This window comes from Homo sapiens, chromosome 3 (genome assembly GCF_000001405.40).
Source record: "Homo sapiens chromosome 3, GRCh38.p14 Primary Assembly".
Lineage (NCBI taxonomy): Eukaryota > Metazoa > Chordata > Mammalia > Primates > Hominidae > Homo > Homo sapiens.
This window is the reverse complement of record NC_000003.12, coordinates 68,492,331-68,519,806: the sequence shown is the minus strand read 5'-3', so window position 1 is coordinate 68,519,806 and position 27,476 is coordinate 68,492,331. Positions and strand designations below refer to the sequence as shown.

At 37.7% G+C, this 27,476-nt stretch overlaps 1 protein-coding gene and 1 long non-coding RNA gene across 8 annotated transcripts in view; both read right to left on the bottom strand.

The window, feature by feature from the left end:
• The window catches only part of TAFA1 (TAFA chemokine like family member 1), a 554,078-nt gene that overhangs the window by 25,815 nt on the left and 500,787 nt on the right, over positions 1–27,476 (bottom strand). The window lies entirely within an intron of this gene.
• LOC105377146 (uncharacterized) lies at positions 13,935–19,170 on the bottom strand. The gene is made up of 2 exons (NR_135532.1): positions 18,873–19,170; positions 13,935–14,260 (listed from the first exon to the last, which is right to left on the bottom strand). It is a non-coding gene; the product is annotated as an uncharacterized LOC105377146 (long non-coding RNA).

Sequence of the window (27,476 nt, the reverse complement as noted above, 5' to 3'; positions counted from 1 at the left end):
GTCATGAAAGTGGAGCCCTCATGGATGGAATTAGTGCCCACATAAAAGGGTCCCCCAGAAACCTCACTCTGCTTTCTGCCATGTGAGGATACAATTAGAAGCCAAGAGTATACAACCCAGAAGAGGGCCCTCACCAGAACCTGGCCATGCTGGCAACTTGGTCTCAGACTTCTAGACTCCAGAACTGTCAGAAATATGTTTCTGTTGTTTATAAGCCCACCCAGTCTATAGTACTTTGTTACAGCAGCCTGAACTGGATAAGGTAGCCTATAGCACATACATATGAATTTATTTATGAAATGCATCATACTAGGCAAAGTAGTTGATACAAAACTATGAGGTAATCATTAACAATTGGCTTTGTCCATTTGGGATATTATAACAAAATAATATAAACTGGGTACCTTATATAGGACAGAAATTTATTTTTCACAATTCTGGAGGCTGGGAAGTCCAAGATCAAGGCAATGGCCAATTCTTTGTCTTGTGAGGGCCTGCCTCCTTGTTTATAGATGACGTCTTCTCATTGTATCCTTACATGGCAGAAAGAGACAAAGTAGTTCACTGGAGTCTCTTTTATAGGGACACTAATTTCATTCATGAGGATTCCACTCACATGAGGCCCTCGTCTTCTAATATCATCACATTGGTGATTAGGTTTTAACATACGAATTGAGGGTGGGGGAGACACACACATTCAGACCACAGTAGCAATATTCTAATTAGCCTTTTACATATTGTATTATAGACCAACAAGCTCAACCACCTTGATATATATAAACGAATGTATCAACTCATTCTGTTTGGGAATGGAGGAAAGATCACTGATATTTAAAATAAACTTTAATCTTATCACTTAAATTAACTGCTAGGTTGTTGCCCTGGAATGATCCAAGAGGCAGGCTTTATGGACAAATAAAAATTACTCTGAAACCAGTGTTGTACTCATCTGACATTTTGGTCTCCCCAGCAGTAATCCCAATTTTTTTCCCTCTGGTTGTGGTACTTGGGTTTATCTTTGGGGAAACAACCTTCACTCACTCTCTCAAACCATGTGGTCATGGGACCTTGTCTTAACCCCTCTACATGTTCCATTCCCCCTATCTCAGTGATGGGTTCAGATGTGAACGAAACAGCCAATTAGTTGGTTTGGGGACTTTGATTCCCAGAATGCCTAGTTCAAAGTAAGTGCTCCATAAACTTGCTGTTGTTATTGTTATTATAAAAGTAATCATCAGTAATTACTAATCAGTAACCATCAGTTGCCCTCATCCAGATGCAATTCAATGCAGTTCAATTAAATATAAATATGTTATATTCCTAAATATGTTGAGGCTGAGGACAAATTTAATAAATTTCAGTGCATATCCTTAAAAAACTATCAGCTTAATAAAGGACACTATTTAATTGCAATCAATGTAGTCAGGGCAATGACAAAATAAATAATACTTTGAAATCATAGGGAGAATTTAGGGAGAATTGGCTGTGGATCAGGCTCTGTGCCAAAAAAAATTGTATTCATTCCATAATTTAAGCCTCATAATAATCTTGGATGTGGGCACTACTATTATCTCATTTTAGAGAGGAGGAAACCAATCAAAAGGAGGCTACATAACATGCCCACGCTCACACAGCTATTAAGATGCAGGATCTAATCCAGAGTTGAGAGGAGGTTGAAAAAGGGATGTCTGCAATGAGTGCTAAAGGATCAGTAGGAATTTGCAAAGGCAGTAAAGTAGAGAAAGGGAATCTCAGTGGAAGTAATGCTTGTGCATGACCCAGAGGTATGAGTTAGAATGTTGTATTCTGGCAACTATTAGTTCAGCATTTCTGGAGCAAAAGTGTGCGAGTGTGTGTGAGTGTGTGTGTGTGTGTGTGTTTATCAGCAAGTGGGAGCAGATAAGGCTGGGTATATTTTAGGAACTGTGCTGCTTAAATTTGATCACAGTCCACAGTCTTAATTAACTAGGCCTTATACAAATGCAATTGCTGTGACAAATCAAAGATACCATGAGAATAATAGAAATGATCACTTTTGATCCAGAGCAAGTTCTATCTCATCTCAGCAATGCTGTTTCTCTGTCAGATGACTGTCTCCTCCTGGGCCATAGTTCTGCTTTTGTGGAGTATAATTTCATAGATGGAACTGAAAATGAATTAGTTCGTTTGACAGGATTAAGGGGTCTGTCCTCATCAAATATTTTCTTCAGTACAGAAATCTATCAGATGCTGCCCAGAGGAGGCTTGTTCAGCATTTGTATCGCTCATCTTATTACAGACCACTTGACTACACATTTGCACGGCTTTCCCTGCACCCAGGTCACCAAACAAACTGGGTAGTCTTGGTTTATAAACAAGCAGCCAGGGTGAAAGGCACTACATAAGGCCATGACTAAAAGAGCTCCATCTGACTTCTAAAACAAAGGGTGTCACTTTTAGGAACTGATTCTTTTAATTCAATGACTTTATGTAAAAAGGAAACATTATTACCTTACTATAAGTGGAAAACTGGTATTACATTCTCTGCGGTCAATATAAAAATAAATACAACAATAAAAAGATTACTGATTATAGTTAGACACTATTGTCTTCCTAAGGTGAAATCCTCAGTTTCTTTTAAGAAGTTGGAGATGAATATATTTTTGAGAGGTGTTGAAGACATGATAATACTAAATTGAGATTTTCTCCTTCAATGTAGCAAAAGGATAGAAGGAAATGGAAACAGGAACAATTGGCCAGGCGCGGTGGCTCACGTCTGTAATCCCAGCACTTTGGGAGGCCGAGGTGGGCGGATCACTTGAGGTCAGGAGTTTGAGACCAGTCTGGCCAGCGTGGTGAAGCCCTATCTCTATTAAAAATACAAAAATTAGCTAGGTGTGGTGGCGCATGCCTGTAGTCCCAGCTACTCGGGAGACTGAGGCAGGAGAATGGCTTGAACCCAGGACGTGGAGGTTGCAGAGAGCTGAGATGCTCCATTGCACTCCAGCCTGGGTGACAGAGCAAGACTCCATCTCAAAAAAAAAGAAGGAACAATTTATTTACTCTGTACTTCAGTTGCTATTTGGTGTCACCTGTACTATTATCTGAAATGATTTTATTTAGCAGTGGTATGACCCCTACGCACTGAACACAACGAAACATTCCCTTCCTCTCCTGTTCTTTTATTGCCTCTTCTAGCAGCAGGAGAGAGAAAGAACCAGTGCTCTCCTTAATGCTGCACAATATCCTGATAGCTTTCAATCCAAGATCACTTTTATTTAGATCCAATTCAAGAACTAAGCACATTAATTGAAAATATACACAAAGGAAACTATAAAATATGAAGGAACTGCAACATATGTAGCCTAATTTTTTCAGTTGGCATTCACATTAAAAAATGTACAAACCAAGGCTAACATTTCTTGAAGGACAGCTCAGTTTCCACACTGTCCCCTTGATGAAAAGCACCAGACTGAGAAGTCATCAATCTAGTATCTTAAGACACAGTTAATCGCTGAATTTGGAACACAGCTTTCAGCACCTGGATGCTCAGGAAAAAATATTAAGCAATCAAGTTTTATCAGTGATGACCAATAAAAGAGAAAAAGCTAAATTCAGCCCTAAATTCCATTATCAAGATGGGTTGGGATGAGCAACCTACAATATTCTTAAAGGACCAGTGACCTTGACTGCTTTGGATTGTGAGAGAAATGAATTTCAAAGATGAAATAGGAAAGTATGTCACTGCAAAGATGCATAGAGGTACTCTCTCATGTGAACAGAGACCAATATATCTGCTTTTACTGATCAAAGTGAAAATGTAAATTGCATTTGGGAAGTAAGGGCCAGTGCAGCCTGCAAATAATGCTTGGTTTCTACACACTTGAAACTTCTTAGGCTACTATGCTTCAGGTGGCTCTAAGAGGGGGTGCTAATTTCAAGAGGAGCTCGTGTTCACAGTTTAAGAGGTTTCATAAGGAAAAAAAGGGGATAATTGTTGAGTAAACCCTAAGTGTATAGCACTCCATCTAATGCTTGCAGCAATCCTGGGAAGAAGATCATTATTATCCACATTTTACACATAAGGAAGGTAAGGTTCAGATTTTAATTAGCCCAAGCTAGTGAATGGCAAGGTTTAAGGTTCAGGCTTTTATGGACCCCACATTTTGATATCTTTTTTGATTTCATAATGCTTGTTAGAATTATTATATGAGGCTTGGTGATGTCAACATCAATTTGTCACATAGCTCTTATTTCTACATACCTAGCATCTGCTCCCTTCTCTTCTGGGAACAATACTTTAATTTTCCTTTGGGGAGCTACTCTCCCTACGGTGTTAGTCAGATGCTTTAGGTGGAGCTAACCATACTTCCTGGAAACAGAGGTGGCCACATGACCAGGCTGGTCCAATCAGATCATCCATCTCTTTCTGGCTGAAACACTGTTGGAAAAAACAAATAGCTATGCCTCTCCTTGAGAACTATGATTCCTCTCCTGCTGAAGCTGGGCTGGCTCTAGTTACTTGCTTGAACAAATGAATGTAACCCAAGTAACATTCTAGGATTTCTTAAGGTAAGTCATAAAATGTTTTGCAGCTTCCACCCACCCTTTTTAGACTCTTATTTCTGGGAGTCCTGAGCCAGCCTATAAAAAAATCCTACAGCCCTGACACTACCATACTGGGAAGTGCACATGCAGATGCTACAGTTGATCATCCCAGCTGATCCCAGCCTTCCAGCTGTCTCCTTCAAGCCAAGGTAAATGAGCCATTTTGAACTTTCACAACCAATTCAGTCACCAGCTGAACACCATGGACCTCTGTCCATGAGTAGTTTGAAACAATAGCCATTTTATTACATCTCTTGTTTATTCTGAAGAATCATCCTGCCAAACCTTATCCAAATTGCTACCAATAAAAACATGAGATGTAATAAAATGGCTATTGTTTCAAACTACTAATTTTGGGGCTGTCATATACAACTAAAAACTGGAACAATCTCTTTGGCCACAGTGACTGATTCAGAAATAGGCTTGTGACCTAAGCCAACCAATAATTTTCAATTCCAGGATTTTTTCTAATGATATTGGGAAAAAACGTTTTTTTTTTTCATTGCTGGGTGGTACCCTGGTGTTATATAAAACTAGGCCTGTTGGTAGCATTTTTATTACTACTGAGGCACAGCTTGTTTGAGATGGAACCCAATGTAGAAGAAAACAGAATAGAAAGATGGAGAGAGAGATAGTGATGTCTGAAGTCAGTCATTGCCTTGGCCTTATATTTCATGGCCAGAAAACTTTTTGTTTAAATCAGTTGAATGGCATTTCTTGCTCCTGAAAGAATTTAAACCAAGAAAAGCCATACTGGGGGAGAAAAGTAAAATGAGAAGTAAATGGTTACAAACAATGAAAGGAAGGCTCTCTACACATATATATTTATATACCTATGCATATTTGTAATTCATGTCAAAGGCACTGTTTCAAAGTTGGAGGTATGCAAAAAGAACAAGATAAGCTTAAGGACCACATTTAAAAATATTTTGCCATATCTATATAGAAGGGCTCTCAGTTCAAAGGCCATTTTAATCTTTCCAAATATACTTCTGCAATGGACTGATGTTTATGTTCCCCCAGAATTCATACATTGAATTCCTAACCTCCAAAGTGATAGTGTTAGGAGGAGGGCCTTTTGACATAAGGATGGAGCCCTCGCAAATGGGATTAGTGCTCTTATAAAAGAGAGCCCAGAGAGATTCCTCACCCCTTTTGCCATGTAAAGTCAGAGAAGACAGCTACCTGTGGGGAAGTGGCCCTCACCAGACACTAAATCTGCAAAGCACCTTGATCTTTAACTTTCCAGCTTCCACAACTGTGAGAAATAGACGTTGTTTATAAGCCACCCCATTTGGTATTTTGTTATGGTACCCTGGAAAAACTAAGACAATTCCTAAACAGAAAGAAAAACTGTATAGTTTGATCAAAAGCTACTTGAGAAAAAATAAATAAGCAGAATAGTATGGTAGTCAAAACTATCAGCTTATGTCTCAATGGGCAAGTTACTCTGATGACCTGAGTTTTACTTTCTTTATCTGTAAAATGGAAGTAATACCTGTCCTGCTTTATAGTCTTTTTTGTTTTTTAAATTAAATGAGTTAGTGTTTCTCGAGGCAATAGGAAATAGGCAAGTAAAACCATGTTAGGGCTCACAGTTTGGAGGGACTTATTTGAATGCATCAGGCTTTATGAAATAGGTAGTGGTCTACATCCACAGAAAAGATATGGACATGACTTCTGAGGTTGATGCTAAAAAAGCTAACACTATGGCTGTCAAATAAGATAACTACTAGCCACATGTGGATATTTAAATTTAAATTAATTAAAACTAAATAAAATTAAAGTTCCTTCTCAGTCATACCAGCTACATTTCAAGTGCAAAACAGCCACATATGGCTAGTGGCTACCATATTGAATGATACAGAATAGAACATTTCCATCCCTACAGAAAGTACTATTGGACAGTGGTGATCGATCTGGTACAGCAGATCATTCTATCTACATGGCATTTGTTAGCCATCACTTGGCACAAACTCACTACTCCTTCACTCCCACCACTCCTAAAAGAGTTAGAAGATCTGACTTTCACTTCCTTTCATGTCTTATGTTCACCACTCTGGAGGCACCTGTGGATGAAAAGTGGAATGGAATCATAAAAAAACCTGGGCATTGATACCATGTTTGCCATCGATATTGGTGAGAACTCCAGATAATCACATCATGTTAATGAGCCTCAGATTCTCATCTGTAAAGTGAGTCTACCACACACAACATGGACCTCCATCCATGACATGTAGAACCACCCACTTTGCACGGTTGTTGAAATTGCCTGAGAGAACACTGGTGCTTTGAAAAATGTACAAAGGTGGAGATGGACAAAGTTCTCCAAAGGTGAATTTTTTTCTAAAGAGGACTTTCTCAAGGTTTAAATTAATAGTTCATGTAACAACGTAATCAAGATCATGAGTTCTGACACCAGAAGAAACAGGTTTTTTTTTGTTAACTTAAATCCTACTTTTAGTCACTTAGTAGTTATAAGGTCCTGGACATTAAAAACAAACAAACAAACAAACAAACAAACAAACAAACAAACAAAAAACCAGCAAAAAACCACCCAGAACTCTTTTACCCTCTTTTCTCATAAAATGAAGGAATAAAACCCACCTAGCAGCAATGTTGTGCTGATTAAGTAAGATAACATGCTCTTTATATTGTGTCAGGAGCACAGAATGAAGTAAGAATTATTAGCCAATTCTCTTGGCCCTGGACCTTCCACAGGCCATTGCATGAACTTCAATCAGTACATATGCAAGATGGTAATAGGACTGTATCTGTATTTTTTGTGGCAGGTAGAGAAAATTGCAGACAGCTAATAATACCAGCATCTATTTTCTTTTAAAAGTACATTACTTTAAAAGGCTCATTATTCTTTGTGTTGAAAAAATAGTTTCTACTGTTAAGTGAATTCCTACTATTTTTTAGAGTAATATTTTGGAAGCATCTCAGTTCTATATTGTGGGAAGCAAATACAAAAGTCCACTAAATGATGAAAGACACAGATTGAACTTAGTAAGTAAATCGATAAGTCTAGTTATTGGTACACTCCTCTGTGCATCACGTGAAGCATTTAAGCAAGTGAAGTGGTTAAGAACTTTATCACTGGAGTTGGTGAGATCTAGGTTTAAGGGACCTTGATCAAGTGATTTAACTTCTGTAAACCTTGGTGCCCTTTTTATTAGATAGGGATAATCATAATGTTCTTATCTCATAGGGTTGTTGAGGTAATGATATATGAAATGAGTTAATACAGAAAGACCTTAGAAGAGGACTTGTCATATGTAAGTGCTATCTATGTTATTGGTGATGATAATGATGGCCATTATCATCATTTATACTATGCAGAACAATTCCAGGTATGCAACAAGTATCTAATTAAATATTGTGTATTACTTATATTTATCTACTATAATTTTAAAATAACATATTTGATTTTAGTTTGAATAAGTAAATGATGTTGACAGTTGTAATAAAGAGATTTACAATCAGGAAATTAAGTTTATCTGTGGTAACTAAGACTACCAGGAAAACATTCAACTATCATAAGCCTGGTGACCATTAATCTATATTTAATTATATTATGTTAAAATTTTAAACTACTTTTCAACCAAATTGCTGTTAATATGTAGTTATTTAAAGTAAGATATACCTTAGAATCATTTTAAGGCATGAAAACCTCATGGTATTTACCCAGTTCACACTGGATTGTCTCAATTCAATACAGTTTAGGTTTTTATCGTTTTGTTATAAGAAAACTAGTTACCTTCTCCAGTGTAATTCTAGCCAAGATCTAGAGGAAATAATTTATTTCAACTTGTCTGCTAGTAGAAATATATGATTAGAAATCTACTGAAGCTAAGAAAATAATTAAGTTAATAACACTTATGGCAACTACGTCTGCTAATAGTAGTATTTGCACATTTGTTTTCATACCTGTTACTTCATGTTTAAATTCATCACACCAAGGCTGAGCCTTATTTCCATATTTATTGCTACCCAGATATTTATACTATATGTTTGTTTAAAAAACAGCAATGGGTGTAATCTTGAATGGGCAAAGCAAATAAAGTACGATTGCAAAAGTTCTAATGAGTTTTTTCCCCTTTCAGGGACAAGAAAATAGCTAGCATAGTTGAGAGGCACATTTGCATTTGAGTCTCTTTAATGTATACTCTGGAAAATCAATACAATAGATATCTGACCTTTCTCCTGTACTTTTGAATAAGCAAGAACAGACAGAAATCAAAACGTGTAAAATCTTTAGGAATGTAATGAGCTGGTTTATATCAGAGGACACATTTCTAACTTACATTTACCTGGTAGCCAAACAAGAAAATTAACTTGCCTATGTCTTCCTGTTACATTTTTTTGCAGAACCCAATAAACCTGTCACCTTCTTGCATTTTTATTTTTGTTTTATTCATTTTACCTTTACTATGCAAAAGAGACAGTGGGAAGAAATTGAATTGGGAGTCAAAATTCCCCAGTGTACATCTGCCCTCTGTTGTTAATTAACTATGTCACTCATTTGACTCACTCAACTTTTTTGAGTCTCAGTTTATCCTAAAAAGTGTGTAAATTCTAAGTTTTAGATGCAATATAACCTATTTAGCAATATTGTGTGGACTGTTGGCTACATAGGCAGCCGAGACTTACAGCTCAGGCTTTTGCCCCAAAACATGCAACTGGGAAATGTGATACTGTACCCAGTCAACCATGCACAGTGGCTCCCTGGTTTAAAAGGGATGCAGGCTGCTCTTCAGGAGATGGGAGAGTTAACATTGTGCTTCCTGTAGTTCAAGATGGTATGATTGGGCCTGAATCCTCACCTCTGAAATGTCTACTTTCTGTCCTTTAAGCAATGGACATACAATGATGGCCAAAGCCCTGTCCATTCCCTTCCCTTGAGGTGCTCTAATGGGGAGATGGCCAAGTTAACAGGACATTATGGTTGAGTATAATATGTCCTATTGCAAAGACAGCAATGGATACTAAGGTAGCAGAGGTGAGGGGTAACAGACTCTGCCTACGAGAGTGATTAAGGAAGATTTATGTTAGTGGACAGTGATCCAAAGCAGGATGGGAAAGAGCACTGCAGGGAGAGGGATGAGGCTTTGCAAATGCCTGAACCCGAGAGGAAGCATGGAGCAAAGAGATGGGGACAGACCATTAAGGATATGATAAGCCATGATAATGGCATTGAACTTTATCCCGAGACAATGGGGACTTAAAATTGGGAAGTTACATATAACATGAGTCTTTCTTAGCTTGAGTCAAGAGGGCATAAATTAGTGGTAATAGCCCACTCTGGAGCCAGTTGCCTCAGCAAAATGGATCCAGTTCCCTTCAGCCCCTTTTCATTCTCCCTTTCAGGAAACTATTTCCCTGTGAGGCATTTCCCATCCTCTGCTCCCTGGCAGTGTCTGTTCTGGGGACTTTCCTTTGCTCTTCTTGTGTAATTCTCTCCAAACAGAGAGAGTTCTGGTATCTGAAAAGGATCAAACTAATACATTACCTTTACATAGCTGGTAATGGCTGGTAATGACAGGATATGTTACCCTTTCAAGAGGCTTTGGGTTTTAAAAATAATTGTGATTATAACAGTGATGCTTCAAAAAGTCTTCCATTTTTTTCATGGCTTCTACTAGTCCTTGCCCATAAGCATATCTATTTTCACTTGATTTACATGAAAATCCAGATAGTATTTTGAATGTTTTTTGTTGTTCCTGTAAAATTAAGAATTAGTTTTGTCTTGATAATGGCCTAACCTAGTGGAAGAGTGGAATTTTGCATTTCAGGAGACAGGCCTGCAAAGGAGATACACACAGACAAGACCATGACGGAAATCTTGTCAGTGTCCTTCAATGACCTCCACAGCTGCTTTTTTCTCTACCTTGACGCAGGGTAGGATGGACATGAAACGAACTCTAATGAGACCACATGTGCTGATGACATTTCATTAATTAACTTGATACATTCTTTCTTTCCCCATGGGACCAACCCACACAGAATTTCCCCAGGCAATTTTGGTAATCAAAGTGACAACCAATAATACATATGAAGTACCTAGCACTGTGCCTGACATTTACCAAGTGCTCAATGAATATTAATTTTCCTTCCTTATCATAGAGACTGGAGATTGACAATGGTGCATCAACACTTGGAGGCCAATGTGACAGCAATTACCAAGTTGGACTCTTGGGTTAGACAGACCAGAATTGGACTCTTGGCCTCATTGCTGTTTCTCAAACACACCCACACCATGATGCTATCTTTGGGCCTCTGCTCTTCTTCCTTCTGTTGTCTCAATTCTCTTCCCTCATGCATTTACTTGGCCAGCCTTCTCATCTTCTTCTAGTGATCACTGAACTCTTACTTGCCCTATGAACTCTATCTATACCACTTTATTTAATGTTGTTACTTGCCTCTACTTCTTCCAACACTACGAATCTACCTTAATCTACTATATTTTTTCATGCACTATAATTTCCTGATTTTGTATATATTATGTCTATTGGTGTTATTTTTGTCTGATTTCCCTCATAAGAATGTAAGTTTCTCAAGGATGAAGATCTTTTTCTGCCTTATTTGTGCATGCATCTCAGATATGTAGGATTGTTTTTAGCACAGAGGAGCCAAAAATCTTTGTTGAACGAATTAATGGTTACTTCATGAGTTGTGTGATCACTGGAAAAGATGCTTGACCTTCCTAAACATATAGAAAGTAGGAAAACTAACAGTATCCACAGCATAGAGTTGCTAAGAAGAGTAAATAAGATAACGAAGAGTTTGACACCCAGTGAAAGTTCAATAACTGTTGTAAAAGATTTAGGGCAAACCTAAGATGTCTTTCTGAACACTAAGATTTTTTTCAGGTAGTTATGGACTGCATGTTTATGTCCCCTTGAAATTCACATGTGAAAGCCCTAATCACCAATCTGGCAGCATTTGGAGTAAGCAAGTAATTAAGGTTAAAAAAAAAAGATCATATGGGTGGGGCCCTGATCTGACAGGATAAGTGTCCTTATAAGAAAACACATCAGAAAACTCCTCTTCCACCTTACTGCATACGCCAAGGAAAGGCCATGTGAAGCCATAGTGAGAAGATGGACATCTGCAAGCCAAGAAGAGAGCCCTCATCATAAATGTAATGGGCTGGAATCTTAACTTGGACTTCTAACCTCCAGAACTGTGACAAAATAATTCCTGTGTGTAAGCTGCCCAGTCTATGGTTATTTTGTTATGGCAGCATGGGCTGGCAAATACACGTGTTTAGATTTTTTGGTATATCTTGCAAAGGAGAACTGACATCTAAATAAATACTACTTTGTAATAACATGACATCATGTTTCTTGTGAGGTCAAAACACTTTCTCATTACTTAGGTTATATACTATCACCATCATCCCAAGCACAATAGGGGTTGTGCGGTTTTTGTATTTTATCTTCATTGCCATTTTGCATGTGGAGAAATGGGTCTGGGTTGGTTAAGAGGTGTACATAAAATCATACAGTGAGATATGCTAAGAACCTAAGTGTCTGACTCAAAGATGTCTTTATCACACTACGATGCTTCCCAAGACCAAGTCTTATTGAAAATATAACAACTTTAGAGCCTAAAAATCTTGTGAGCTCCATAATCATTTAATAGAACAATACCTGTTTCTTCATTGCAAACACAGCTTAAGTATAGGTAGAAGGTACTACAAAGGGGAGAAGGGGTGAAGAATTCTAGACGCTAGTTTTAATCAACTGTTTTTGCCCTGATCTGACAACCTGGTAATCATGTTATATAATTTAAAAAGCATAATAATATATTTCATTTTTTCCATATAAATAAATAATATTTTAATATAACCTTTTAAATTTTTTGTCTCAGTAGTAGGGATCTCTTTCCCTATCCTGTCTCATCATGGTTCTCCATTAGTCTATGTTTTCTATTTGCTTTTGAGCAGATAATTTCATCTTTAGTTTAGTTTTAGGGCCCAGTGGTGGCTCTATGGTAAAATAAGCTAACTGGCTATCCAAGGGCTGGCCAGCAGGTTTAATTCAAGTTCTAATCCAGCCATTGCTAGTGGCTGCCTAAGGCATGGTGTTTAAGGTTCTGAAGCTGTGTCTAGATTTCACGAGCAAGAGAACTGTGATTGATTATCAATGTCTGCCCTGGTGAGAAGGACAGAACGGCAGCAGGAAAGCTATGAATTTGCTATGCATGGCCCAGAACTTAAAATATCGAAGACCTTCCTGCATCACAGGCTTTGCGTGAGGCCATAATAAACACCCTTCCAGCCCAGAAAAATAATGTAGAATATTCTATTGCCATACAATATGTATTTCTGATTCATTTGCACTGTGGCTGCCTTTGAGAATAATTTAAATGAAATGAAATGAAAGGGTATATTTTAGTCATTTTGAAAAGAAGGGCATTTTGGGGAACATTTCATCTGACAAATTTGTTGAAATGGGCATTGTTAGGTTCTCAGCTAGAGCAACCAGGAAAAATGTCTTCTATGAAATATGTTAAAATATATTTAACATTTTCTCAATGCTAGAGCAGCTATTTCACCTTGAGTTATCAGGCTTCAATGACTAATATTTTGACCAATCAGACCATAACAAATGCATACCAGTGGAGCACAGCGTTGCCCTGATTATGCCCACACAGTGTTTCCACCAGCTTTCAGATCCTGGTAACAAACCTGGATTGTAAACTGATAAAGCATATTTGCTCTGTGTGTGTGTGTGTGTCTCTGTGTGTGTGTGTTGAACACACCCTAAGGTGACCCCTAATGATTTATGTCCTTGGGTCATCTCTGCTTAAGTGTGGGCAGGACCTGTGAGTCAGTTTTAAGAAATAGAATGTGGCACTGGTGATGGGAATGCCACTGTGTTCACAATAGCAAAGACTTGGAACCAACCCAAATGTCCATCAGTGATAGACTGGATAAAGAAAATGTGGCATATATACACCATGGAATACTATGCAGCTATAAAAAGGATGAGTTCATGTCCTTTGCAGGTACATGGATGAAGCTGGAAACTATCATTCTCAGCAAACTAACACAAGAACAGAAAACCCAACACCAGATGTTCTCACTCATAAATGGGAGTTGAAAAATGAGAACACATGGACACAGAGGGGGGAACATCATGCACTGGGGCCTATCAGGAGGTGGGGAGGTAGGGGAGGGATAGCATTAGGAGAAATAACCTCATGTAGATGACGGGTTGATGGGTGCAGCAAACCATCATGGCACATGTATATCTATGTAACAAACCTGCATGTCCTGTACAAGTATCCCAGAACTTAAAGTATAATAATAATAAAAAAAAAAAGAAATAGAATATGGCACTAGTGATGGGAATGCCACTCCCATGATTGTTTTATTGTATAAGACTCCTTCTTGGTAGACTAAAGAGATTTTCTTGCTGGCCTTGAAGAAGCAAACCACCATGTTGCAAACTGCCTGTGGGAGGGGTCTTGTGGCAGGGAATTGCAAGTAGCTTCTAGGATGTTGAGCAGGCTCCATCTGGCAGCCAGGAACAAGCTGGGTCCCCAGTCATACATCTGCAAGGAAATAATTTCTGCCAACAGCCTGAAGGAGCTTGGAAATGGAATCTTCCATAGTTAAGCCTCCAGATGAGAACACAGCCCAGCTGGCACTGATTGCACCCTGGTAAGACATTGAGAGGAGGATTCAGCTAGGACATTCCTGAACTTCTGACACACAAACATTTTGAGTTACTAATGTGCATTGTTTTAAGTGCTAGATTTGTGTAATGTGGTTTGCAGAAATAGAAAAGTAATACAAAGTAACAGAGATGAATTTAAAATGTGACCCTTAAACTTGCATAATGTGATTATAAGGTTACAACCATGCTCACAATGCCAGTGAGTGTAAGAGAAGCTGTTAAAAGATAAAAAGCTAAAGACTTTGGAAGAATACAGCTTGCATCATATGTGACTATTCCCAGGACAGTAGTTTGTAACTTTTTGTGTTTGGTTGAACACTTGAAAAGTGTAAAATGTTTCTCTCTCCACAGTTACTTATTATTATCCACTTGATTATCCTCCGAAACCTTGTCCCTGTTTGAGTAGAACAATTTACTGACCTGGCTGCAGTTTTACATACTCAGGAGGTAGCTCTTGCACATTTCAGCAAACATGCTTTGATCTTTGGTGTCTGCTTAATAGGCTGCCATACTTCTCACCCCTACTCGCAACAAGACACACTCTGTTCTTACCATTCTGCATGCCCACAAATGTTACAATCTGACAACCTTTTCTTATAAACTTGTTTCTGAGTAGATACCCTCCTCACTTTTAGCAGGAATAACTTGCATTCTTGATCATACTTTGATCCCTTTGAAAGGGTCATGGTACATCTGTGTACCATAGCACAGGTTGAAACCTGGCCCCACTACTTTTGGAGAGACTTTTACTTTTACTGAACATTGATATTTTTGTTGCTGCAGATGGGGAATATTTTAAAGCTCATTAGCTTAACTGTTAAGAGGTTGGATGGTAAATTTGTGGTGAGGGGATAAGAAAAAGGTGAGGTACAATTTTGATTTGGTAAAGGATTCCTTTTCTGTATTAAGGGGCTGAGTCAGATATGAGGACACTTGATACATAGTGACATGACAGGGATAGCTGCAGATCTCTTACAATTGTGTGCCTGTGTGGACCAGGTGAAACTAATCAAATCAATTTAAAGCTCCAGTGGCAGACAATGTAGGAACAATGTGGCTGTCATGCTTGGATCATGGTATCAGCCCTAGTTAAGATGCTCCAGGAATGCATGCCAGAGTCTAGGGAGACCCCTCATGGGGCCGTTGCAGGCAAATGCATACTGCTTGCTCTGGGAACAATTTGTGCTTGGAGCAATTCATGTTAGGATGGCAGCTAAGGGGCCCTGCTGGCTTTCAACACAAAGGTCTAGCAAGCAGTTTCTCTGTGGCTCAACTCAGAGAGCTGGGCAAGAGGGACTAGGTTTTATGCGAAAGAAAGATCCTTATGGAATAATGTTTACGACAGACTAAGGGGACATACAAACTCCAAGGCTGGAAATATTTACCCTTTGCTTTATATTTGGTTATACATAAATAAGACTAAAATGTGATTATTAGCCTTTTTCTTGTCCCTTCTCCACGTATATTATGCTTTAAAAATATATAATCCTCCAAAAAAGCAGTCAATTAGGTATGCACTAAAATTCAGTTTGTGTACATTGGATTAATTATTTCTGTGGTTCCCAAGTTTATCCAAATTATATGATTATGATAATATAATGATGATGATCAAGGTAATTGTCATTATAATTATCATCATCTTTTTACTTAATCATTCTCTTAGCATTAAGCATTTTGTTCAAATATAAAAATAAATCTATGAATGCTGTTCCATTAACTCTCTTTCCAAAATATTATTAGAAAATGATGCCCTTTCCTGGAGAAATGGAAACTTAATAGGTTTTCATCAGAAAGGCCTCCCTACTAGGAATGATTTTTCAAAAAACGATTCGGTAAAATTCACATAACTAAAACTCATGACTTCAAGTATTTTAAAGTGTACAAATCAGTGGCTTTGAGTATATTCACAATGTCAAGTCATTGCCACAAGTTAATTCCAGAACATTTTCAGGATCCCAAAAGGAAACCCTCTTCGAATTAAGCATCATCATTTTCCTCTCCTCACAGCCCCTATTGACCTCTAGTTTGCTTTCTATCTCTATGGATTTACCTATTCTGGACATTTCATATCAGTGGAATCATACAATATGTGGCCTTTTGCACCTGGCTTCATTCACATAGCAGGTTTTTCAAGTTCATTCATTTTAGTGCAGGCTAAGTATCCCTTATTTGAAATGCTTGTGACAAGAAGTGTTACAGATTTCAGGTTTTTTGGGTTTTGCAGTACTTGTACATACATAATGAGATACTGTGGGGATGGGACCTAAATCCAAACACAAAACCTACGCATGTTTTATGTGCACCTTATACACAGCCTGAAGGTAATTTTATTTTTCCCTTGGGGACACTAAATAATCTATGTGTGTTGTTCATCTGCATTTCGACTCACTTGACTTGTCACATGAGATCAAGTATGGAACTTTCCACTTGTGCTGTCATGCTGGCACTCAAAACACTTCAAACTTCAGAGTAGGTCAGATTATGGATTTTTGGATTAGGGATACTTGGGCTATACATCATTCCTTTTTATGGCAGAATAATATTCCATTGCATGGATACATCACATTTTGTTTAGCTATTCCCCCGCTGGTGGGCATTTGGGCTGTTTCCACCCTTTGGGGATTATGAATAGTGCTGCTGTGAACATTTGTGTAAGAGTGTTGGTCTGAATACATGTCTTCAATACTTTAGAATCTTAGAATAATGCTTGGTTTTGTGTCTTTTGTGGGGAAAATCTTCAGACCTGGTCAAAACTGTTATAGATGATGCCATAGCTCTTTGCATATTGTGTCTCAGAGTATTAAGAAGGAGCTGTTTTACTTGGGAGGGTGAAGGTGAATGTGGCAGATCAAAAGTACATGGGGCTGGGGAGAATCAGGGGGGAATAGGCAAGCAGAAAAAAATAACTGGGTCCTCTCTGAAATAACTCTAATTTCTCATAATCTGCTATATTGGTAGTATTGACATGGTGTCTATTGTCTGTGATTATTAGTATGACTGTCTACATTCATCTGTGTTTCCAGAAAAATAATCAGTTTCTACCCAGTTTGTCAATTTTTAGTAATCCATCAATGGTCTGAAATAATTAGGATATTAATGCCCAAAATAGTATATTTGGGCATGGTAGCTGAGGTTTCATAAGTAACTATTTTGTGTTTGGTGAAAGTCTTTTTTTTTCTGTGTGTTCTAAAGCACAAGAAGGCTCAAATTTAATTTTCTGAGTAAGCAATAAAAAGAGTAATTATAAACCTTATCTGTAAAACAGAATTAATTATAGGGTTGCTATGAAGATTAAGTAACTTAATATGTTTAAATTGCTTAGAATGATGCCCTTGCTATGAAGCAACCATTATATCATGATTATTACTCATTTAATATAAGAGAGCAAAAATAGTATTATAAAAAGTAAATCAAACTACGTCCTCCACTTGCTTGAAAGCCCTTCAAGGTTTTCTCACTTTGCCAAATCAGTAAAGAATTTCCATGTACTAAGGCCCAGCTTGAATGATTGGGTTTCTAACCTCCCAAATAGTTTGGATTATTTTTCTTCTAGCTTACTTTGATTTTCTTTCCTGGAGGAGATCAAGATTTTCCTGCCAGAGGGCCTTGGCACCTGCTTTTCCTATGCATGTCCACACTACACGTCTCTATGCTGTGTCCAAACTACACTTCTGTTGGCTAGTTGCTCCTCCTCTTTCTTATGGGACATGGCTTCAATATCACTTTCTCCTGGATACTGTCCTTGCTAAAAGAGATTCATTCCCCCATTACTAATTTCTATTTCTTCTCCTTTTGGCTATGGTCAAATAATAGCCTAATTATAACCTGCAGTTTGTAAATTATCCACTGACCACAGTTTTGTCTATCCTTCCAACTCTCTGCAACTTACCTGTCCACTGTCATCACTCTTGTGGTTCCCGCATTTAGCACAGTGTTTAGATATTCATGGTATATATTGATTAAATATTTGGTAAACAAACATAATTTCCAAATAGTTTTCATTTCCATTTCTGGAAAGTAGAGTTAAGTAAGTATTTTATAAGTATGATTATTTTATACACTCTCATGGTAGGTATTATCAATTCTCTTATTTTAATAACATTTTCAGATTATTTATTTATTGCTTTGCATATTCCGTGGCTTTTTTCCTCAAAGGATTTGAGATGACAAATTCTGTCAAGCCTCGGTTATGACCTGCATTCACTTAAGGCATGGTTTGACTTCGCAGTATTCATTTTATACAGTAATTCAATTTTCAATAGAGTCAGCAAAAGATGAGAGAATTAAGAGTAAAAAGATCTAAGTTTGGAACTAGATATTTACAGATTTTTGGCTCCCTAAAACATTTTCCCTTTTTTTTTTTTTTTTTTTTTCAGACAGGGTCTCACTCTGCTACACAGGCTGGGGTGCAGTGTCATGATCTCAGCTCACTACGACCTCTTCCTCCTGGATTCAAGTGATTCTCGTGCCTCAGCCTCCCGAGTAGCTGGGACTATAGGCGCTTGCCACCATGCCTGGCTAATTTTTTTTGTATTTTTAGTAGAGCCAGGATTTCAACATGTTGGCCAGGTTGGTCTCAAGTGATTTACTCACCTCAGGCTCCCAAAGTGCTGGGATTACAGGTGTGAGCCACCATGCCTGGCCCATTTTCCCCCTCTTTTGATAGCTGAATCTCAATTTCCTTTGGAGAATCATCTAGTTTCTACTCTCTGTTCATGAACTTCTGAAGTGGGGGTGTGCCTTCATCTTGATTAATCATAAATCGTGATCTTCTGGTCACAGTGATTGCTTAGGGTAGGAATAGGCAAACTTTTTTTTTTCCATAAAAGACCAGATAATAAATATTTCAGCCTTGTACGTCACATACTCATTGTCACAGCTACTCAATTCTGTCATGACATCACAAAAGCAGCATAGATGATATATAAACAAATGGGTGTGACTAAGTTACAATAAAACTTTATTAAAAACTAGTGGTGGACCAGACTTAGTCAGTGGATTGTTGCTTGCTGACTCCTAGTTTAGAGTACTGCTCCTCAAAGGGTGATTATCTGTTTGTTATTGCTGGTCTGTAACAAGTACAGACATTAAGAAGTTTTATAACAATTGGGCAGGGAATTTTATGTCTGAGAAGTCTAAAAACAAAGAATTTGGGCTTATATTTTATGTCCTTTCATTTTATTTTCATGCTAATTCATTTTTATTGTATTTTACAAAAGTATCGGCCCATGACAGATTGGGTATTTTTTAAGAAGAATAAAAAGGTCCTTCATGATGGAGAGTTTGAAAAGCACTGGTTTAGAACACAACATGACTTAAGCCAAGCCCATTAACCCAAACCAAGCTGATCCCATGACTCACCTAAAGAGACAGATTTCCTCCATTGGCACTCAAACCCAGAAAAAATGTGAGCTTGGAGTTGTTTAGAGCCATGTCAAAGAGCCTAGGAAGGAAGCCAACATAGTAGAAGGCACAACCAAAAGATGGGATGGAATGGGATGGAAACTGAGCACAGATGGCATCATTTGAGGCTATGCCTTAAGAAAACCTGTGGTTTATTATCGTGTACTTGCAGTCTGCTTCCCTCACTAATAAGCTTTATCCCTGGACTTTACTTGAATATAAGACTACAATTCCTTCCTGCTTCTTAAAAAAAAAAAAAAAAAGGAAAAGAAAAAAAAATTCAGTTTGAATTGGGTTTTCTGTCACTGATAACCAAGAGAATCTTGACAGACATACATTTTCAAAACTGCCCTTTGCTTCTAATAACTACCTGTGAGATATTAGAAAAATCACCTCCATTATTCATACGTTTATTTCTGCTACTATAAAACTAATGGGGTTTTATCAAATAATACCTTAGTTCTACTAGAACTTTAAAATGTGTTTTTGGTGGGGTTCACTCACCACACACTGGCTCACAGCCTGGCCCTCGCCCATAAGATAAATAAATACATAAAATAAAGTGTATTTTAGCTTACCTTTTCATGGTTAAATTGAAGATATTTATGATCTACATTTAAAACGTGAATTCAGAAATTTTAGTTTGTAGCATGTCTTCTCAAAAAAAAAAAAAAAAAAGAAAGGAACACAGAAAGAAAGAAAACAAAGAAGCAAGCTAGCTCCAAACAATAAACAAAAACAAAAAGCAAAAATACCCTCTCTACTAAGAATTCAAGGTTTGGTTCAGTCTGCCATTTTGGCAATGGCAGGCTTAAGAATGATTTGAATGCATCAATAAGCAGTAAGTAGCTTTTTTTTTTCTTTTAACATATAAAGAGTTTCTATGAAAAATTCTACCCTAGATATTTGTTATTCATATTAGTTTGTCCCTGACAAACAAAATGAGTTGTTTAGTATAAATGAAAATTCTGCACAGATCTCAGAAGATATTTTAATACCTAGGCTGCTTTAAAAGAGTAAGGAAAAATCGTATCTCTTTGATGATTTCTCCAGTTCCATTTTAATGACAAGAAGTTGACTACTTTAGTTTCTACCAGGATAAAGGGAAAAGACTGTTGCAAAAGTAGGAGAGAGAAAATTTACTTCTAGGCCCCAGCCTATACATGTCAAAAATCCCTTTTGCTGGAGACAGGCTTTCAAAGCTCCATTTCCCAGTAAGTGTTAAAAAATATATCTCCTTTACTCATGAAAGTCCCTGAAGACCATTTTAGTCAATCACGCTGGCAGCCAACCCTCTATACACAAGAATTACTTCAAATGTTTCTTTCTACATGGTGGCCACTAAAATAGTTTTCTCTCTCTCTCTCAAAAAAAAAAAAAAAAAAAAAAAAAAAAAAAAAAAGCCACCAAACGGCTTTGGGAGGAATTTTTATAATCCCAAATAGCCTTCTTCTAATCCTCTACTTGAATCAGCCTTCGAAGGAAAACTATCTTTGTGCCCTCAAGCTGTCTTGCATTTTCAGTGACATCTTGGGCTCTGTAATTACCATGTTTTCAGCCAAGGTCAGACATGGTCTTTTTTCCTTAAAATAATAAATTTCTCTGCTTTAAGGAAATGCAGATACTCAGACCCACTTAGCAACAATATGCTTTTGTAATTTGGTATTCATATTTTGCACAGCTGTGGCATTGTTCTTAGCCCCCAGCTTACGTTTAATCTCTGATTTATAACCCTGCCTCCTAGGTGTATCTTTGAGAGTGGGGACATTGACTAATTCATCTTTGCATCCCCAGTGCCTGGCTCAATACATATGTGTGGATTAAATGATTACAAAATAATATAATAATTATTGAGGACTTTCTCCATTCCAGGTGCTATTATAAATACTTTTCACACTTTTCATCCTCATTGCAACTTCATGAGGTAGACACTATCCTTATGCCCATTTGACAGATGAGGAAAAAGAAGCAAAAGGTTATACAACAACCAGTAATTGCCCAGCTAGGATCAAACTCTGATCTAGAATCTCTTAACTATTTGACAATACCAAGTGCCTCAAGCTACGTTGGTAAAGAATGTACTTAGTATCAAGCAAAGAGTTAGTAATGGAAGTCACCTATTCTCCCCAGAGTAGCATCAGATCCAAGTGGATCCTTTGGAAAAAGTTCAATTAGTGGGTTACCAGGTGGAGATAATTTTCCTGTAGCAATGACTGCTGAGCATTTTTCTCTATCCATGCCATCACTCCCAAGGGCAAGCTATTATCCTCTTCCACCTGGGCTACAGCTATTTCTATGCACAGCAGTCAAAGCTGTACTAAGAAACAAATGAACAAACACAAAACCATTCTGCCTGTGTCATTCCGCTACTGCAAAGACTTTATTATATATCCAAATAGGATAAAGTCAGGATCCTCCTCTGATTGTGGAAGGTCCTTTGTGAGTACTCCACTTGTCATTTCAGGCTCCTTGCAAGATCATTTCCCATTCAGCACACTCTGTCTACTTTTGTTTCCTGGAAGGAACCAGGCTGTTTCCTAGCTTAGGACATTTGCTCAGGCTGATTCTTCTGCCAGGCACATTACCAACCTCCCACCCTTCCACCCTCCCAACTGACATATTTCTACTCATCCTTCCTTTATGTCTTAGCTTGGCTAGGAAAGAGTTTCTTGATACCTCTCAATCTTAGACCACATTAGATTATTGTAATGTGCACAGTCATAGGTGTGTCTTGCTCTTCTAACAATTACCTTTTAAATATCTTCCTACCAGCCTTGCCATATTGCTATTATCTATCATAATGTCTGCCATGTTGCTGACATTCCAGTGGCCTACTAACCAGAATGCATTAATGAATGAGTGGACATATGTTAAAGAATTAAAGTTGGGTTAATTCTTAGAACCACTGCCTTAGAGATGATAAAGCATCTAGAACATATCTTGAAAGCATGATTAGCTGGTAGAGTACTGAAATAGTTTAGCCAAGGACATTGGCAATCAGAAAAAAGGTGGTATTATAATCATGTCTAATACATGCCAAACACTTACAATGTACAAGGCATCATTCTAAGCACTGTACCAAGTGGCCATTTTCTTTTTTCCACTGGGCTTTTTCATGAAGGCAGTTCAAAGGTCTCTCTCTCTCTACTAAAAGCTGACAAGAAGTAACAACAGCAGTAGCAGTAGCATTGATGGTAATAGTAATGATGATGATGATGGTGTTGTGGGGATAGAATCTTACTGTATGTTATATTATTTATATGCAGTATAATCATATGTTGTCCTAAGGACCACCCCATGATATAGGTAATGGTATCACCCCCACCATAGAGAAGAAAATGACACAGAAGGGTTAAGGAACTGTGTAAATTTACATGCATAATTACGGCAGAGCCAGGACTCACATCAACCCAGTCTTGACACTTGGGTCCCATATTCTTAACCACTGTGCTTGACAACATCTGTTCCAGTTATCTTTCACTCAAAATTAGGTGGCTCAAAACAACACAGTATCTTGATTTCATCTTTGGTCATCTAAAGGTTCAACTGGGCTGGATGGACACATCTAAGATGGCTTACTTGTAGGACTGGCAGTTGATGCTGCTGTTGCCTGAAAGCCCATTAAGTCTGTTAACTGGAGAACCTACACGTAACATCTCCAGGTGGCTTGGGCTTCTCAGAGCATTGAGACTAGCTTTTGACAAGAAACAGCCCATAGGGACCATTGCAAGATACTAAAGGAAGCTGCAAGATTTCATACGACCTAGTCTTGGAAGTTCAGACTTCTCTAACATTTTATTGGTCAAGGAAGCACTCAGGACAGCCCAGGTTGAAGGGGAGAGGAATTACAGTCAACTACTCAATATTAGAAACAGCATCTTCTGGAAGGCCATCTTGGCAACTATCTACCACAATATCCTGGCTGTTTTCCTAATTTATTCACATTTACAACTGATTCTCGTTAACGCTGATCTTTCTGCGTAAAAGGGTAGGCCTTGCTACCCTCCTTGCATGTCTCACTAGGGAACAACTTTTGGTATCCTTTAGCCAAACCACAGACACAGTGATATTTGATTTGAGAAGGTCTGTTGTTTGTCTTTTTTTTTTTTTTTTTTTTTTTTTTTTTGCTTCAGGGAAAGAAGGTTCACTATCGTTGTTATTTCAAGAGGCAAGTGAGAAAATCCTGCAGAATAAACAGAAGCACTTCAAAGGACGCTTCTGAAATCACTATCTGCACAGATCACTTTTCCTTTTAAGCCTGTGAAGGAAGTTTGGCATTGCCTAACTTGCTTTCATGTAAATTCCTTTCTTGGTTTCCTTTCTTTCTTGATCCACATGTGAGCCTGGAGAGCATGTGTCTTTCTCCACCCTCACAATCAAACCTGAGTTGTTTTAGATACCTGTCCTCGGGCCATGCCTGCAGCAGTGTGGACTGTAGATCATTCAAAATGATCAAGAAAGTTAGTTGGTAGGTTAGTTGGAAAACTCGGTGGAAGCAATAAATGACAACTTGATCCACGCATCTTGTATACATTTCAGTCTAACTAAAATCAATGAAACGTACACTTATTTGCCGACTTTTAAATGTAAGGCCAAGGACTTTCCTTGGATTAAGAATTCATATATTGAGGTCCCAAGCAGTCATTCTTGCATACACTAAATTTATTATGCATCATCTTTGATGCCTAGTTTTTAAGTAAAATGACAACTTAATGCAGAACATATAATACTTCCAATTGTTTTTAAATGATTTTGCCAACCTGCAAAACAGAGAAAAGAAGTTGCTCTTTTTACCTAACCTTCAGATTTAACTCTTTTTCTTGTCCAACTCGTATTCCATTCCTTTATATAATATTTAATTAAATTATGTATTTCAATAGTAAGTGCTACAGGCACAAATGGGTTTGGAAGCACCAAATGTTGCTAAGTATACAGCTCAACTGCTGAGAACAAAAGTGCTCAGATGAACTAGAAAGTGTCCTACAAGCCTGAAGCCTGTGTTGTGGGTGTCCACTGGGATTTTTATATACAGAATGGAGAACATCAGTTAACCTGTTGTATTGGTTAGAGGTCAGTTAATAGAGCTTCTGTTGTTTTCTTTTCTTTTCTTTTCTTTTGTTTTTACTCTAGTTGTCTCTTAATCTCATTGATAACCATGTTGTCCACAGTACAGAGAAGAATCTAGACTTTCAGCCTGATCTTTTTGTTAACGTCCTATGGAATCCAAGCCAAGTTTAAACAAAATTGATCATTTTTAAAGCACATTATTTGTGCCAGGCACTATTTTAAGTGCATTGTATGTTTTATCTAATCTTATCCTTATAATAACCCTATGAGGTAGTGTGTCAATTAGGAATTGCATTAAGCTGTTAGTGCAGAAATAACAGAGGCTTAAAAATAGTTTAATTTTCTTCTAAAGAAAATGATAAAAAATAATCAGCCCAGAGCTTGTGAGGTATCATTAGGAATTAATTCATCATGTGTGACTTCCATTTTCAAGAGTACTACATGAACCAAGATGACTACTGGAGTCTTCACATCTGCATTTTTACCAGCAAATGATAGGCAGGAGGAAAGTTCTCTGGGAGGCTTATTAAGATCTAGAACTTTCAGGCCACACCTGCCTGTGAGGGAGATTGGGATATATATTTTTCAGCTGTGAAATTTGATATTCAGCATAACATCTGGGTTATCCTACAGAGAAAAAAGAGGAGAATGATACCAGATATCAACTAGCACACTAGGAACCAGACAGTTCTTGTTACTATCCCTATTTTACAGAGAAGAAAATGGGCTTATCAATGTTAAGATCCTGATCACCAAGGTTTTAAGTGACAGGTCTAAAACTTATACCAATTAGCCAGGTGTGGTGATGTGCACCTGTAATCCCAGCTACTCGGGAGGCTGAGGCAGGAGAATCACTTGAGCCCAGGAGGTGGAGGCTGCAGTGAGCCGAGATTGTGCCACTGCACGCCAGCTTGGGTGACAGAGCGAGACTCTGTCTCAAAAAAAATTAAACAAATAAACTTCAGGTGTGGTGTTATGTTTAACCCTTACAAACAACCCTGGGAAATTGATATCATTAGTCCTAATTTTCAAGAAACTCAAACTTAGAAAGATTAAGACCATGATTATACAGCAAGCACAGCAAGTAAGATCAGAGACTGAATAAACTCCTGGTTATCAGATTCTGAATTGGAAGCTCCAAATCAACACACCATTTGGCATTTCTGGGAAAGGGTCAATACAAATTCCAGATGCTGTCTCACCCCACTGTGCATGAAGCCTCCAGGGAATGGGGCAGGAAAACGTCATAAACTTATAAAAGTAATGTTTCATCAGCCTTCAATTTCTTTTTAAATTTTCTGATCATTCATTGTCTAGAATGTGCTTGATCATAGAAATCACCTAAGCTATTTGTTTAAAAAACCAAATTTCCTCTTACATCCATTAGGATGGCTACTATAAAAAATAAATAACAAGTGTTGGTGAGGATGTATAGAAATTGAAACCCTTGTTCACTGTTGGTGTGAATGTAAAATAGGACACCTGCTGTGGAAAACAGTTATGGAGGTTCCTCAAAGAATTAAAATTACTGTATGATCCAGCAATTTCAATTCTGGGAATATATCCAAACAAATTTAAATCAGGGATTCTAAGAGACATTTGTGCACCCATGTGCATAGCAGCATTATTTACAGTAGCCACAAGGTAGTAGCAACCCAAGTGTCCATCAACAATGAATAGAAAAACAAAATGTAGTGTATATATACAATAAAATATTATTTAGCTTTAAAAAGGAAATTCCAACCCATGCCGCAACATAGATATACCTTGAGGACTTTATGCTAAGTGAAATAAGCCAGACATACAAGGAAAAATACAGTATGATTCCGCTTATATTTGACTACTTTCAGTAGTCAAGTTCATGGAGACAGAAGTAGAATGGTGGTTGCTGAGACGAGGAAGAGGGAGAAAAGGGGAGTTGTTGTTTAAAAAGTATGGATATTTACTATTGCAAGATGAGAAGAGTTCTGGAGATGATTTGCACAACAATATGAATGTACTTAATGCTACTAAACTGTACACTTAAAAATGGCTAAGATGGTAAGTACTATGGTATGTGTATTTTACAATAAAAAATAAGAAAAAAGAATTTTCTGGTTCTTTTCCCTAAAGATTATATTTAGCACATCTTGGATGGAGCCAAGAAATCTGTATATTCAAAAACTGCCCCAGCTCATCCTTCTAATCAGACTAATGTAGGAAATAGACCTTTTACATGGCTTAATCAAGTGCTTTCTCCTTTAATGCTGAACTCACAGAGATTTTGAAGGTGAAAATGTCTTCCCACGGTAGTTTTTTTAAAGCTTTTCCTTCCAAGAAGAAGAAGAAGAAAAAAACTACAAAACCTTGCTTATTCTTGATGTTCTGTTTTTTTCTACAAAATAAATATAGAAACACTGCAAGCAAACTATCAAACTCCAGAGATACTTATCTTGAAACTTCAGCATTAAAAACTCATCCATAAAGTCATGAATCAAAGACTACAATAAAACAACAGAGAAGTTGGGCAAGCACTCCTTTCTGATTCATTCATTGGTTTCTTCTTTCACTCATGGAGAGATCAGATGAATTCAGGGAGAAATGAGGGAATGGAGAATATCAGAGAAGCAGCTCCCTCAGAAATTCTCTCTGAAGTCGGATTTCCCTAGGCTTTGCTGCCTTAACTTTTATAAAAGAAAGTCTCAGTGATACCGAAGCCTCCACTGAGTATTTTGGAAAGTACTTGAT